Below are 15,993 nucleotides of genomic sequence, written 5' to 3'. Positions count from 1 at the left end.
TGGCAGGTGCCTGTAATCCCAGCTACTCAGGAGGCTGAGGCAGGAGAATCACTTGAACTTGGGAGTCGGAGGTTGCAATGAGCCGAGATTGAGCCACTGAACTCCAGCCTGGGCAACAGAGCAAGACTCTGTCTAAAAAAATAAATAAATAAAGTTAAATAAAATATACTAGTGTCTATTACAATAGTAGCAACTACAATTTATGAAGTATTAGCTGCTAGGCACAGAGACAGGTGCTTGATGTACATTATGGATGTACATTATGTCTATACAAGCCTCACAGTTGCCTTCTAGTTTTTTTTAAGTGATAAAGACTACATTGGGTAGATTGCTTGATTTTGTGTAACATATTTAAAAAAAAGAAATGCATTTTTTTCATTTTATTTTTATTAAGCACTACATAACACATTGCATGCTACATAATACACTGTAACCTTCTAGCAGGGGTAGATGGCCATAACTGAGTTATTTTTTTCATCAATCAGGAAAATGCTTCCTTAATCAATGTTCTCCAAACCCTGAAAAACAGTTTAAAAAGGAGAATGTGACAAGTCTGTTCCCATCAAAGATATGCCATGTACTTTTATTTCCAGTGTCATTAAATGGCATTGTTATTAAAAAGAGTGCTTCCACATCCCACATTTCTCTAACTGCAACAATACATTGGATTAAATTTTATAATCACTAAAGAATAACCTGTAATGATTTCTAGTTTTCATTTTCTGACAGCAGCATATTGCTTTATATGAAACAAACCTTCCCCGACCCCCAATCAGAACTAAAGTCAAGCAACTCTTTACCACCTGGATCCTTTTTTTTTTTTTTTGAGATGGAGTCTCACTCCCGTCATGCAGGCTGGAGTGCAGTGATGCGATCTTGCCTCACTGCAACCTGCATCTCCCAGGTTCAAGCAATTCTCCTTCCTCAGCCTCCCAAGTAGCTAGGATTAAAGGCATGTGCCACCATGCCCAGCTGATTTTTGTATTTTTAGTAGAGAAGGGGTTTCGCCATGTTGGCCAAGCTGGTCTAGAACTCCCGACCTCAGGGGATCCACCTGCCTCGGCCTCCCAAAGTGCTAGGATTACAGGTGTGAGCCACTATGCCTGGCCTCCACCTGGATCCTTTTACAAAGCACCTCAGTGAGTCAGAGGACAAGAAGGTAAAATCTGTTTTAAAAAATAACAGCCAACATGAGGTAGATACTATTATTCTCATTCCATTTTTTTTACAAATGAGGAAATGGAGGCTCAGAGAGGTTAAAAGTCACCTGCTTAAGTCCATAAGGAATTAGCAGAGCCAGAATTCAGGGACCCCAACTCCCGAACCCTTCTCTGACAAGCACTACACTATCTATTCAAAATACCTACTGGATCTTACTAAGTTGACAACCAAATACTTCAGAAGCTATAAATTAAAAGATTACACCTGGCGTGGTGGCTCACGCCTGTAATCCCAGCACTTTGGGAGGCCGAGGTGGGTGGATCATGAGGTCAGGAGTTCAAGATCAGCCTGGCCAAGATGGTGAAACCCTGTCTCTACTAAAAGTACAAAAATTACAGCGCACCTGTAATCCCAGCTACTCGTGAGGCTGAGGCAGGAGAATTGCTTGAACCTGGTGGGTGGAGCTTGCAGTGAGCCAAGATCATTCCACTGCACTCCGGCCTAGGCGACAGAGCAAGACTCCGTCTCAAAAAAAAAAAAAAAAAAAAAAAAAGACTCATCAGTGATGACACTTCTTCTAGGTATTAAATAACATAGTCCAGGTATTTGGTTTACTATTACAGGAAGAACTGCCTTAAGAGAAGTTAAAACTGTATCTTCCTTGGAGCCATCTCTTAGAAATCCTAATTCTGTCTCACATGCTAGGTGATTCTGATGGTTATTCTTGGACCATACTTTGAGAAATATGGCTCCAGATAAGTAGATATCTATTATCATGTTCATTGGATTAGATTCTCAACTACCTCTCTACTGAGAGGTGTATCACCCAGGTTGAGTCCTTATAATATTACTTAATCACTCTGACCCTTGTCTATAAAATGGAAATACTATTTACTTAGGTTTGTTGTGAGGAATAAATGAGGAAGGAGAAAATATTAAAAAGTAAACATTTTTAAAAGAAGTATGAGAATGAACTACTCCTACAAAATATAAAAACATACTATTAGGGCCAGGAGTAGGGGCTCACGCCTGTAATCCTAACACTTTGGGAGGTTGAGGTGGGCGGATCACTTGAGGTCAGGAGTTAGGAAACCAGCCTGGCCAACATGGTGAAACTCCATCTCTACCAAAAAGTACAAAAAAAAATTTAGCTGGGCATGGTGGCAGGTGCCTGTAATCCCAGCTACTCAGGAGGCTGAGGCACAAGAATCGCTTGAACCCGGGAGGCGGGGGTTGCAGTGAGCCAAGATTGCACCACTGCACTCCAGACTGAGTGACAGCGTGAGACCTTGTCTCAAAAAACAAAAAAAAAGACAGAAAAACAAAAAATATACTATTAAGTTGAGCCTTATGAAATGCTACTGCTTGGTCGTTTTTGACCTACAAAAATGGCAATGTCATAATTGAATCAAAATATAAAATTATAGTAATTCTTTAAATGAAGTATTGTTGCAGGAATAGGCAGACCTAGAGTATAGAAAAGCACATCCGTGAAACAGGCCCATGTGTACATGGAAATTTAGTTTACCAGAGTGGTATTACAAATAAAAATAAATTGGGTGCTTGGTGGTTTTTTTTTTTTTTTTTTTTGAGACAGGCTCTCATTCTCTCGCCCGGGCTGGAGTGCAGTGGTACGATCCTAGTTCACTGGAGCCTCAAACCCCTGGGCTCAAGCTGTCCTCCTGCCTCAGCCTTCTGAGTAGCTAGGACTACTAAACTCTTCTATAAATGGGTAATTGCGATAACTAGCTACCTGTTGGAAAAAAGTAAAGTTAATCCTCCTTTCACATTATACTCCAAAATGACCTGTAGATGTAACCAAATAACTAATTTTTTAAAGAAACTAACAATATTAGGAGAAATTATTTTTTAAAAGTATTTTTATGAGCCAGGTATAGTGGCACACCTGCAGTCCCAGCTCCTCCGAAGGCTGAGGCAAGAAGATCACTTGAGCCTATGAGTTTGAGGGCCAGCCTGGGCAACACAGCAAGACTGTCTCTATTTTATTTTTTGAAAGTATTTTTATAATCTTAGATAGAAAAGGCCTTTGTACGGGAGACATAAAAACCTAGAATCCAGAACAACAAAACATGATACATTGAATATCAAAATTTAGAACTACCTGATGAAAAACATCATAAAGTAAAAAAGACAAACAGCAGACTGGGAAAAATGTCATATATAAAATAGACAAAAAAATTAAAGTCTAGAATATATAAAGAACCATAGCTCAAAAAGAAAAAGACAATGGAACAGGCAAAGGATATAGGCAACAATCCACAGAATAAGAAATATATGACAGAAGAAAAACTAAAAAAAAAAAAGAAATATAAAAGATTAAATATGTAAAAAGATGCCAACCTCACTAGTAGATAAGAAAATGCTAGTTATATATTAGCACTGTATGACCCTTGGCAAGGCATTACCAGAACCCACCTCAACCCTGGCAAAAGGCTGGCATCAGAGTGGCATCTTACCTTTGACACATAGTAACGATCAACTCCAGAGATGCGCCTATCTCTTTCCATCAGACTCCAGTGATACCCAAAATGAGCAACCCTTTTTTCCTTCAAATAAGAGACAATTATTGTTGCAGTTTATAAAAGTGAGTGACCCAATTGATAGATACTACAATTTTTAAAAGGGACATTCCAGAGAAATGGAATCATCGTTTAAATAAAAATGCAAATTAGTAGTACAAAGAACAGAATCTCCTAAATAAAATCAGACCACTAAACTTTAGGATTAAGTTGGTACCTGTGACTTTTTACACTATTTTAACCAACATGAATTTTTTTTCCTTTTTTTTTAAAAAAAAAAAAAAAGAAATATCTAGTTGTTGTCTTTTGGGACACTAAGAAACAACAGCTGTAGATCACACGTGAAGAACAATAACAAAATCAAAAAGTAAATAAATTTATATCCTGTACTCTTGAGATGATGTGAAGGACTAGGAAGAGGGGAAAATGAATCCTGATGTAAAAAAACAAGATCTCGCAGTAAATTCCTAAAGGCTTGCAAGAGAAAGTGGGGAATAAAAAAGTCAAGGGTGGCCGGTCGCGGCGGCTCACGCCTGTAATCCCAGCACTTTGGGAGATCAAGGCGGGTGGATCAACCGAGGTCAGAAGTTCGAGACCAGCCTCGCCAACATGATGAAACCCCGCCTCTACAAAAAAAAAAAAAAAGCCAGGCGTGGTCCCGGCTACTCGGGAGGCTGAAGCAGGAAAATTTCTTTCTTTATTTATTTTTTTTTGAGACGGAGTTTCGCTCTTGTTGCCCAGGCTGGAGTGCAGTGGCGCGATCTCGGCTCATCGCAACCTCCGCCTCCTGGGTTCAAGTGATTCTCCTGCCTCAGCCTCCCGAGTAGCTGGGATTACAGGCATGCGCCACCACGCCCAGCTAATTTTGTATTTTTAGGAGAGACGGGGTTTCTCCATGTTGGTCAGGCTGGTATCGAACTCCCGACCTCAGGTGATCCGCTCGCCTCGGTCTCCCAAAGTGCTGGGATTACAGGCGTGATCCACCGCGCCCAACCAGGAGAATCTCTTGAACCCAGAAGGCGGAGGTTGCAGTGAGCGATTCTCAGGCTTGAGCCACCTTTTCTAATCTACCTTCCCGGCCCCCGCGTCGCTACTCTGCCCTAAGGCCCACTCTGATACACCCAGAAACGCTGTTTTTCACTAGAGCAGGATGTAGTTTCTATCGGGCTTCGTTTCGCAAGCCTCGGCTTCTAGGCAACCGGAAGCAAGTAGAGGGCCGACCTCGGAGAGAGGGTTCGCAGGCTGACGGTCTCCCTGCCCACCACCCTTTTCGGAAATCAGCCCGTGGAGTCGGCCCCCGGGCCGAAGCCGGCTTACCTTGCCCCCGTTAGTGAACCTGTGGATGTACGCAGTAGCCAGTCCTGGAATCAACAAGCACACGCCCATGACGGAGAGTCCGGGGAGAATCTCGAACCACATCTCTGCCCCGTTACCTAGGCCAAAACCCTACTTCTGGGTCCTTGAAAGGTGACCTGGCTTCGCCTCTCTTCCCAGCAAGCCCCGCGGCCGCCCGCGAGCGGGGCGGTGCCACGTACGGCTCCGGAAGAAGCGACGGAATCTGCTAGGGCACAAGAGAGACGGGCGCTCGGGCTCTCGCAGTCCTCTTCCGTCAGTGTCTTTTGCTTCGACTCCCGGCGGAGCGCGCAACGTGGAGTGACGTGCAGGGGCCAAGTGCAACCCAGGCAGCCACGGCTGTTTCGGAGCTCAGGACTCTAAAATGGCAGAGCAGCTTTCTCCAGGAAAGGCGGTGGATCAGGTGTGCACCTTCCTTTTCAAAAAGCCTGGGCGGAAAGGGGCTGCTGGACGCAGAAAGCGCCCGGCCTGCGACCCAGAGCCCGGAGAAAGCGGCAGCAGTAGCGACGAAGGCTGCACTGTGGTTCGACCGGAAAAGAAGCGGGTGACCCACAATCCAATGATACAGAAGACCCGTGACAGTGGTAAACAGAAGGCGGCTTACGGCGACTTGAGCAGCGAAGAGGAAGAGGAAAATGAGCCCGAGAGTCTCGGCGTGGTTTATAAATCCACCCGTTCGGCGAAACCCGTGGGACCAGAGGATATGGGAGCGACAGCTGTCTATGAGCTGGACACAGAGAAAGAGCGCGATGCACAAGCCATCTTTGAGCGCAGCCAGAAGATCCAGGAGGAGCTGAGGGGCAAGGAGGATGACAAGATCTATCGGGGAATCAACAATTATCAGAAATACATGAAGCCCAAGGATACGTCTATGGGCAATGCCTCTTCCGGGATGGTGAGGAAGGGCCCCATCCGAGCGCCCGAGCATCTACGTGCCACCGTGCGCTGGGATTACCAGCCCGACATCTGTAAGGACTACAAAGAGACTGGCTTCTGCGGCTTCGGAGACAGCTGCAAATTCCTCCATGACCGTTCAGATTACAAGCATGGGTGGCAGATCGAACGTGAGCTTGATGAGGGTCGCTATGGTGTCTATGAGGATGAAAACTATGAAGTGGGAAGCGATGATGAGGAAATACCATTCAAGTGTTTCATCTGTCGCCAGAGCTTCCAAAACCCAGTTGTCACCAAGTGCAGGCATTATTTCTGCGAGAGCTGTGCACTGCAGCATTTCCGCACCACCCCGCGCTGCTATGTCTGTGACCAGCAGACCAATGGCGTCTTCAATCCAGCGAAAGAATTGATTGCTAAACTAGAGAAGCATCGAGCTACAGGAGAGGGTGGTGCTTCCGACTTGCCAGAAGACCCCGATGAGGATGCAATTCCCATTACTTAGGTTTCCCATAATTCTTAAATTTAAAAAATAAACGTTTTGTTCTTTTGGAAGTCTTACTTCGTGTCCTTCCTTTGTAGAGAAAGTGACAGAGCAGGCGGGTGGTGAAGTAGGGTCCTGGATTAAAAGCTTCAAGGTAGGTATAATCAGGATTTTTAGCCCTAGGATAACCATTTTGCCTGTGTTTCTTTTCAGAACACTTTGGCATAAATTATAGGGGTGGGAGTAGTTTGAGAAAAGAGCTATAATTTGCTCGAAGTAACCAAAGCCATGATGAAAGCAAGACCTCTGAGCCTGTTTATTATATCACATTTCTGTATCACTTAATAGTTTACAAAGTACTTTCATGCATTCTTTCTCTTGGGAGCCTGTACTACAAAATATACCCGAGCCAAGGTGTTGGGGAGAGGGGTTGTGTTTGGGGAACTGGTAGCTAGCACCACAGGCTTCACATATGGGAAATGTTCCTTGCTGTCTTGGTTATTTATTTATTTATTTGTTTTTGAGACGGAGTCTCGCTCTCTTGCCCAGGCTAGAGTGCAGTGGCGCGATCTCAGCTCACTGCAACCTCCGCCTCCCCGGTTCAAGCGATTCCCCTGCCTCAGCCTCCCGCGTAGCTGAGACTACAGGCGCATGCCACCACACCCGGCTATTTTTTTTTTTTTTTTTTGTATTTTTAGTAGAGACGGGGTTTCACCATACTAGCCAGGATGGTCTCGATCGCCTGGCCTCGTGATCCACCTGCCTTGGCCTCCCAAAGTGCTGGGATTACAGGTGTGAGCCACCGAGCCCGGCTCCCTTGCTGTCTTGGAAGCAGCTATAGTTAACCCCCACGTCCATGGGTGATAAAAGTATCTGTGCTCAGCTATCCAGTGTGACAGACACTAGCCCCAGGTGGCTATTGAGCACTTGAAATGTGTCTGACCACTGTATTGGACATTACTATTGTAGACAGAACTCGTGAACCTGCAGAGGTCAAAAACAATATTTTATCATCCATTACCTGAAACTATCTGTGTTCTCACAGTCTCTGTAATAGTGCTGATCACACCTTATTAAAATTAGTCAATGTACCTGTCTCTCCAACTGGTTTATGAACTCAGTGACTAGCCTAGTGCTTGGCATATAATAAGCACTTAATAAATAAGCCTAGAGAGGTTTAAAAAGGGAGATTGGGGCCAAAGCCTTGAATCCAAGCTGAGGAGCGTTGACTGTATTCTGTAGGCAGCGGGGGAGATAGCAGAGGTTTGGGAAGAGAACACAATCAGACTTGGGTTTTTTTGTTTGTTTGTTTGTTTTAGTGTTACTGTGGTTGCGGCTATAGGATGGCTCACAAGGGAGATGGAACACGAGGCCGGGAGGCCAGTTAGGCCAAATGATTAGTAAATTTTTATTGATATGGCTAGAATTTGGGCTAATCCCACGAAACAGATGCAAGAATAAATTCTGGGTTAGTGGTTTTTATTCACATTCATTAATCCATTTAAAGATATTCTTTTTTTTTTTTTTTGAGACAGAGTCTTGCTCTGTTGTCTAGGCTGGAGTGCAGTGGCGCGATCTTGGCTCATTGCAACCTCCGCCTCCCAGGTTCAAGCAATTCTCCTGCCTCAGCCTCCCGAGTAGCTGGGACTACAGACGTGCACCACCACACCCAGCTAATTTCTGTATTTTTAGTAGAGACAGGGTTTCACCATATTGGTCAGGCTGGTCTTGAACTTCTGACCTCGTGATCCGCCCGCCTCGGCCTCCCAAAGTGCTGGGATTACATGCATGAGCCACTGCGCCTGGCCTAAAGATATTCTTTGAGTAGCTACTCTAAATCAGGCACTGTGCTTGGCATGGGGGATATTAGCAGTGAACAAGATGGACACAGCCCCTGCCCTCATGGAGCTGGACATTAAATAATGACTGTTTGTTTGTTTTTGAGACAGAGTCTCGCTGTGCCACCCAGGCTGGAATGCAGTGGCATAATCTCAGCTCACTGTAACCTCCACCTCCCAGGTTCAAGCAATTCTCCTGCCTCAGCCTCCTGAGCTGGTCTCGAACTCCTGACCTCATGTGATCCACCCGCCTGGGCTTCCTAAAGTGCTGAGATTACAGGCCACCGTGCCCTGCCTGTTTCGTTTCTTTTAATTTCAAATAGGATCTCCTATGTTGCCCAAGCCCATCTCAAACTCCTGGCTTCAAGCAATCCTCCCGCCTCAGCTTCCCAACATGCAGGGATTACAGGCGTAAGCCACCATACCTGGCCTAGGAAAGCATTTGGAAAAGTGTCATGTCCTACACAAAGCTTCGGACGAAAAGGAAATAAATGAAAAGTGTCACGGAGGCAAGGCGCAGTGGCTCACGCCTGTAATCTCAGCACATTTAGAGGCTGAGATGGGAGGATCACTTGAGGCCAGGAGTTGGAGACCAGCCTGGGCAACAGGGAGACCCCCGTCTCTACAAAAAACAAGCAAAAATTTTAGCTGGGTGTGGTGATGTGCACCTGTAGTCCCAGCTACTCAGGAGGCTGAGGTGGGAGAATCCCTTGAACCCAGAAGATCAAGGCTGCAGTGAGCCATGATTGCGCTACTACACTCCAACCTGGGTGACAGGAGTGAGACCCTGTCTCAAAAAAAAAAAAAAAGAGAGAAAAATATGGCAATGAGTAGCAAAAGAACCAGAAAAAATGTTCATTTTTTTAACTATTTCTGATAATTTATACTAAAAAAGTTATTCAGGGTTGGGCACAGTGGCTCATGCCTGTAATCCCAGGACTTCATGAGGCCAAGATTAGAGGATCACTTGAGCTCAGGAGTTTGAGAACAGCATGGGCAACATAGCAAGACTCCCATCTCTAAAAAATAAAAATAAAAAAAGTTATTCAAAAGTAGAATAAAGTGTTATGGAAAAAGATATACTTTGAATTGTTATCTATTATATAAGCTGAGAGAAAAGGTCCAGGAGAAAACACAGATGATAAAAGGTGAAAGAATGCTGCTGATGACTAAATTCTAGGAGGTAGAACAGAGAAGCGACAGAATTAAGAGCATAAATCAGTCTTAAAGAGTTGAGAGGGCAAGAGAAAGATGACGTTTGTGCACTACTCTCCACATGACGTTTTTTAATACTTGTCTGTGAATCTTTTTTTCTTCTTTCTTTTTTTTGGTCTTGAGACAGGGTCTCACTCTGTCGCCCAGGCTGGAGTGCAGTAGCGCAATCTCGGCTCACTGCTACCTCTGCCTCCCAGGTTCAAGCAATCCTCCTGCCTCAGCCTCCCAAGTAGCTGGAATTACAGGCATGCACCACCACGTCCAGCTAGTTTTTTGTATTTTTAGTAGGGATGGGGTTTCACTGTGTTGGCCAGGCTGGTCTGGAACTCCTGGCCTCAAGTGATCTGCCTGCCTTGGCCTCCCAAAGTGCTGGGATTACAGATGTGAGCCACCGTACCCAGCCTTTTCTGTGAATTTTGAAAAAGTATACAATGTACTTGCAAATGAGCATTATTCTGGAGTCCGTAGCATTCAGCAGATTCTTAAAAGGGACCGTAACTCCATAAAAGCACCTAAATCAATAGTGTACTCAAAGTACTTTTCATGTTTACAAGCTTATGATTACATTTTCTACAGTTCAGGAATATTTTCATCACCTTTAATTAAATGGTACAACTTCATTTCATAGGTGGGAACTAAATAGTTATTCTTACAATTTAAAAGAAACTAAATATGTAGAGGGAAGCAAGCGCTCCAGAAGAGATGAGGTTGCAGCTGGACCCTAAAGGAGCTTACCTAGTTTGAAAGGTCAGGGCACCTATGTCTCCCCTAGGAAATGAGCCTCAAACTGAGACCCGAGAGGTGAGTTGGAGAAAGAGTATCTCAGGTAGAGGGACAAGTATATATACTAAGGCCCTGATGTGAGAGACTGCCTCCAGCTAAAAACTCAAGGCAGTCTAAGGTGGCTGGGGAAAAGAGACAAGGTAGTCAGGGCCAAAGAGCAGACACCTTGCAAGTCATGTTAAGGACTTTGGACTTTATCTGAAGGGCAAAAATGCGCCATGAAAGCATTTTAAGGGCCAGGCGCAGTGGCTCACGCCTGTAATCCCAGCACTTTGGGAGGCCGAGGTGGGCGGATCACTTGAGGTCAGGAGTTCGAGACCTGCCTGGCCAACATGGTGAAACCCCCGTATCTAGTAAAAATACAAAAAATTAGCTGGGTGTGGTGGCGGGCACCTTTAATCCCAGCTACTTGGGAGGCTGAGGCAGGAGAATCCCTTGAACCTGGAAGGTGGAGGTTGAAGTGAGCCAAGGTTGTGCCACTGCACTCCAGCCTGGGAGACAGAGCAAAACTCTGTCTCAAAAAAAAAAAAAAAAAAAAGTGGGGGGAGCTGGGCGCGGTGGCTCACACCTGTAATCCCAGCACTTTGAGAGGCCGAGGTGGATGGATCACGAGGTCAGGAATTCGAGACCAGCCTGACCAACATGGTGAAACCCCGTCTCTACTAAAGATACAAAAATTAGCCAGGGGTGGTGGCACGCACCTGTATTTCCAGCTACTCAGGAGGCTGAGGCAGGAGAAGTGCTTGAACCCGGGGTCGGGGGTGCACAGAGGTTGCAGTGAGCCGAGATTGCACCACTGCACTGCAGCCTGGGTGACAGAGCGAGACTCCGTCCCAAAAAAAAAATTTTTTTAAGGGTTTAAAAAGGAAAATGAAATGATCAGATCTAAATTTCAAAAAGATAATTCTGAAGAGTGGGGAATGGATTGAAGGCAGCCAGACATGAAACAGGGAGATCAGTTATGGGGGTGGTGCACTGGTCCAACTCAGATGATGGTAGACTGGACTAGACTGGTGGCTGTGAACATTCATTTAATAAATTTGTATTGATCACCCATTACATGACAGGCATTAAGCACTGGAGATACAGTCATGACAAAAGCACACAAGTCCCTGCTTTCATAGAACTTACATGAAGTGAGCACAGTGGCTCACACTTGTAATCCCAGCACTTTAGGAGGCTGAGGCAGGAGGATCACTTGAGGCCAGGAGTTGGAGACCAGCCTGGAAAACAAAGTGAGACCCCATCTCTACAAAAAATAAAAAATAAAAAACTTAGCAAGGGATGGTGGCATGTGCCTGTAGTCCCAGCTAATCAGGAGGCTTAGGCAGGAAGATCCCTTCAGCCTGAGAGTTTGAGGTTGCAGTGAGATGTGATCATGCCACTGCACTCCAGCCTGGGTGACAGAGAACCCATCTAAAAAAAAAAAAAAAAAAAAAGAACATACATGAGAGACAGTGACAGATATATATATATATATCAGATTGTGATGAGTGCTATGAAAAACAATAAAGCAAGGTAATGGGCTAAGAGTGCAGGGGTGTAGGGGAATGCTATTTTATATATGGTAGTCAGGGAGGGGCCTCTTCTGATAAGGTGACATTTGGGCAGAGACCTACATGAAACAGATATCGGGGAGAAGAGCATTCCAGACAGAGAACACCTAGTACAAAGGCCTGAGGCAGGAAAGTGCATAAAACACAACTTTGTAATAGAACCAATAATTATAGAAGAACACCTGCATAACCACCACCCGGGTCAAGAACTACAAGACTGAAAACACTGAAGAAGCCCCTCAAGGATCCCCTCCAGATCACACCCTCAGGATCACACCCTCAGGATCTCAGGATCACACCCTCAGGATCTCAGGATCTCAGGATCTCAGGATCACACCCTCAGGTAATCACTTAATCACTATATTGATTTTTTTTTTTTTTGAGATGCAGTCTCACTCTGTCACCTAGGCAGGAGTGCAGTGGCGCGATCTCAGCTCACTGCACCCTCCGCCTCCTGGGTTCAAGTGATCCTCCCACCTCAGCCTCTTAAGTAGCTGGAACTACAGGTGTGGGCCATGATACCCGGCTTTTTTTTTTTTTTTTTTTTTTTTTTTTTTTTTTTTTGGTAGAGACAGTGGTCTCCCTATGTTGCCTAGGCTGCTCTGGAACTCCTGGGCTCAAGCAGTCCTCATCCCTCAGCCTCCCAAAGCGCTGGGATTACAGATGTGAGCTACCACGCCTGGCTGTTGAACCTTTCTGTAAACACTTTTTTATTTGCTGAGGTGAAATTTACATAACATAAAATTAACCAGTTTAAAGCAAACAATTTAGTGGTATTTAATACATTTGCAATGTTGTGCAACTACCACCTCTATATAGTTCCAAAACATTGTTTTCATCACCCCAGAAGAAAACCCCACACCCATTAAGCAAATGCTCCTCATTTCCTCCTCCCCTCCACCAACCCCCCCCCCAATCCCTGGCAACCACCAATCTGCATTCTCTGTGGATTTAATTATGTTATATATTTCTTTTCTTTTTTTTTTTTTTTTTTTCCCGAGACGGAGTCTTGCTCTGTCACCCAGGCTGGAGTGCGGTGGAGTGATCTCAGCTCACTGCAACCTCCACCTCCCAGGTTCAAGCAATTCTCCTGCCTCAGCCTCCCAAGTATCTGGGATTACAGGTGCGCGCCACCACGCCCTGCTAATTTTTGTATTTTTAGTAGAGATGGGGTTTCACCATGTTGACCAGGCTAGTCTCAAACTCCTGACCTCGTGATCTGCCCGTCTCGGCCTCTCAAAGTGCTGGGATTACAGGCGTAAGCCACCTCGCCCAGCCTATGTTAGATATTTCATATAAATGGAATTGCAATATGGAATCTTTCATGTCTGGCTTCTTTCATTTAGTTTTCAAGGTTCATCCACATTGTAGTATGTATCAGTACTTCCTTTCTATGGCTAAACAGTATTCCATTGTATGCATAGAACACAATTTGCTTATTAACCAATCATCTGTTGATGGATATTTGTTCATTTACCTTTTAGCTCTGACTATGGGTGTACATGTATTTGTTTGAGTGTCTGTTTTCAATTCCTTTGGGTATATACTTAGGAGTGTAGTTGCTGGGTCATATGGTTAAGTTTATGTTTAACTTTTTATATATGTATATATAGAGAGAGAGAAAGAGACAGGGTCTCACTCTGTCACTCAGGCTAGAGTGCAGTGGCCAGATTATAGTTCACTGAAGCCTCACACTCTTGGGCTCAAGTGATCCTCCTACCTCAGCCTCCTGAGGAGCTAGAACTACAGGTGCACAACGCCATGCCTGGCTAATTTTTTTTTTCTTTTTTTTTTTGTTGAGACGGAGTCTGGCTCTGTCGCCCAGGCTGGAGTACAGTGGTACGATCTCGGCTCACTGCAACCTCTGCCTCCCAGATTCAAGTGATTCTCCTGCCTCAGCCTCCCAAGTAGCCGGGATTACAGGCACCTGCCACCATGCCCGGCTAATTTTTGTATTTTTAGTAGAGACGGGGTTTCACGTTCTTGGCTAGTCTGGTCTCGAACTCCTGGCCTCATGTGATCCGCCCACCTCAGCCTCCCAAAGTGCTGGGATTACAGGCATGAGCCACTGCACCCAGCTAAATCTTTTACTTCTTTTGACAATGTTTTATAGTATTTAGAGAATAAGTATTGCACTTCCTTTGTTAAATTTATTCCTAATATTTTGTTCTTGATGCTATTGCAAATAGAATAATTTTCTTAATTTCATTTTTAGATTATTCATCAACAGCATATAGAAATAAAATTTATTGTTTTCCAATATTGATCTTATATACTGGAACCATGCTGAACTCATTTATTGGTCCTAGCAGGTTGTTTTTTAGTGGATTCCTTAGGATTTTCTATATACATGACCACGATATTCTATGTACATGAACCAAGACTATGTCATCTGCCAATAAAGTTTTAGTTCTTCCTTTACAATCTGAATACATTTTATTTCATTGTCTTGCCCAGTTGCCATTGATGGAGCTTCCAGGACAATGTTGAATAGAGGTGGTGAGATTAGACATTCTTCTCTTGTTCCTGATCTTAGGAGGAAAACATCCAGTCTATCACCACTAAGTATGTTATTAGCTGCGAGTTTTTTGTAGATGCTCTTTTCTGAGTTGAGAAAAGTTCCCCTGTATTCCTAGTTTGTTGAGTGTTGTTATCATGAAAAGGAGTTGGATTTGGGGCAAATATTTTTTCTGCATCTTTTGAGATGATTATGTGGTTTTTGCTTTTTATTCTACTGATATGGTCTATTACAGTAATTGATTTTTGGATGTTTTAAAGATAGGAAAACAAAACAAAGTGTTTTTCCTACTCTCACACTCAAGGAAACACAGAACACTCCACCTGTGGTCACCAAAATGTGTGGGGAAATACACACATACACCAACCAAGCAATTCTCCAGCTGACATCAGCTGGATCTCCTCTAAATCAATTCAATTCCAACATTGCCTACCTGGAGATAGCATCAGATCCCATAGATCCTATACAGAGATTTGGGGCTCAGTCCTATGAGACTGCCCCCCACCTCAAATGCCAATAGTAAGTAGTAGGTTGTCATCTATACTTCTGACCCACCAGCTATAAATCAGGGGTTTCTACTACCCTCTCCTCAGGTTCCATTAATTTGCTAGAGTAGCTCACAGAATTCAGGGAAACACTTTACTTAAATTTACTCATTTATTATAAAGGATATTACGAAGCATATAGACAAATAGTCAGATAGAAAAGCTGTGTAGGGCAAGGCATGTGAGAAGGGGCCCAGAGCTTCCATGCTCTCTCTCTCAGAACCACCCTCAAGGTAACTCATGTCCAGCTAGCCAGAAGCTCTCAGAACTCAGTCCTTTGGGACTTCTATGGAGGCTCCATTACATAGGCATGATTGATTACATCACTGGCCATTGGTGATCAACTCAACCTTCAGCCCTTCTCCCCTCCCCAGAGGTCTAGGTTTGTGGGGTGATGTGGGGTTGAAAGTTCCAACCCTCTAATTACATGATTGGTTCCCCTGGCAACCAGCCCCCATCCTGAGGCTATCCAGGATCCCACCAAGAGTCACCTCATTAAAACAAAAGATGCTACTATGATCCAGGAAATTCTGAGGGATTTAAGAGCTCTATATATCAGAGCTTTCTTTAATCTAATTCGTTTCTTTTGTTTTTTTTTTTTTTTTTTTTTTTTTTTTTTTTGAGACGAAGTCTCACTCTGTCACCCAGGCTGAAGTGCAATGGCAAGATCTCGGCTCACTGCAACCTATGCCTCCCGGGTTCAAGCAATTCTTCTGTCTCAGCCTCCCAAGTAGCTGGGATTACAGGCGTGTACCACCACGCCTGGCTATTTTTTTTTTTAGACAGAGTCTTGCTCTGTTGCCTAGGCTGGAGTGCAGTGGTGCGATCTCAGCTTACTGCAACCTCCACCTCCCAGGTTCAAGTGATTCTCCTGCCTCAACCTCCCGAGTAGCTGGGACTACAGGCGTGCGCCACCATGCCCAGCTAATTTTTTGTGTATTTTTAGTAGAGACCGGGTTTCACCGTATTAGCCAGGATGGTCTCAATCTCCTGACCTTGTGATCCGCCCACCTCGGCCTCCCAAAGTGCTGGGATTACAGGTGTGAGCCACCGTGCCCAGCCTTTTTTTTTTTTTTTTTTGAGATGGAGTCTCAAATCTGTTGCCCAGG

The 15,993-nt window shown here is 44.5% G+C and overlaps 2 protein-coding genes across 2 annotated transcripts, besides 1 other annotated feature; one reads left to right on the top strand and one right to left on the bottom strand.

Annotated features, from left to right (window-relative positions):
• Positions 370-5,200, bottom strand: NDUFA1 (NADH:ubiquinone oxidoreductase subunit A1). The gene is made up of 3 exons (NM_004541.4): positions 5,019-5,200; positions 3,639-3,728; positions 370-518 (listed from the first exon to the last, which is right to left on the bottom strand). The coding sequence occupies exons 1-3, from the start codon at positions 5,118-5,120 to the stop codon at positions 498-500; spliced, it is 213 nt and encodes a 70-aa protein (NP_004532.1). The 5' UTR covers positions 5,121-5,200; the 3' UTR covers positions 370-497.
• Positions 4,877-5,586: an enhancer, noted in NCBI's record as "active region_29902". NCBI's record gives its function as "activates an Ori minimal core promoter by ATAC-STARR-seq in GM12878 lymphoblastoid cells {active_cell/tissue: GM12878}" and the evidence as "EXISTENCE:reporter gene assay evidence [ECO:0000049][PMID:35858748]".
• Positions 5,299-6,557, top strand: RNF113A (ring finger protein 113A). The gene has a single exon (NM_006978.3). The coding sequence runs from the start codon at positions 5,419-5,421 to the stop codon at positions 6,448-6,450; it is 1,032 nt and encodes a 343-aa protein (NP_008909.1). The 5' UTR covers positions 5,299-5,418; the 3' UTR covers positions 6,451-6,557.

The sequence above is a fragment of the Homo sapiens genome, chromosome X, assembly GCF_000001405.40.
Source record: "Homo sapiens chromosome X, GRCh38.p14 Primary Assembly".
Taxonomy (NCBI): Eukaryota; Metazoa; Chordata; class Mammalia; order Primates; family Hominidae; genus Homo; species Homo sapiens.
Note: the sequence above shows the minus strand (reverse complement) of the source record. Positions and strands in the feature narration are given on the sequence as shown.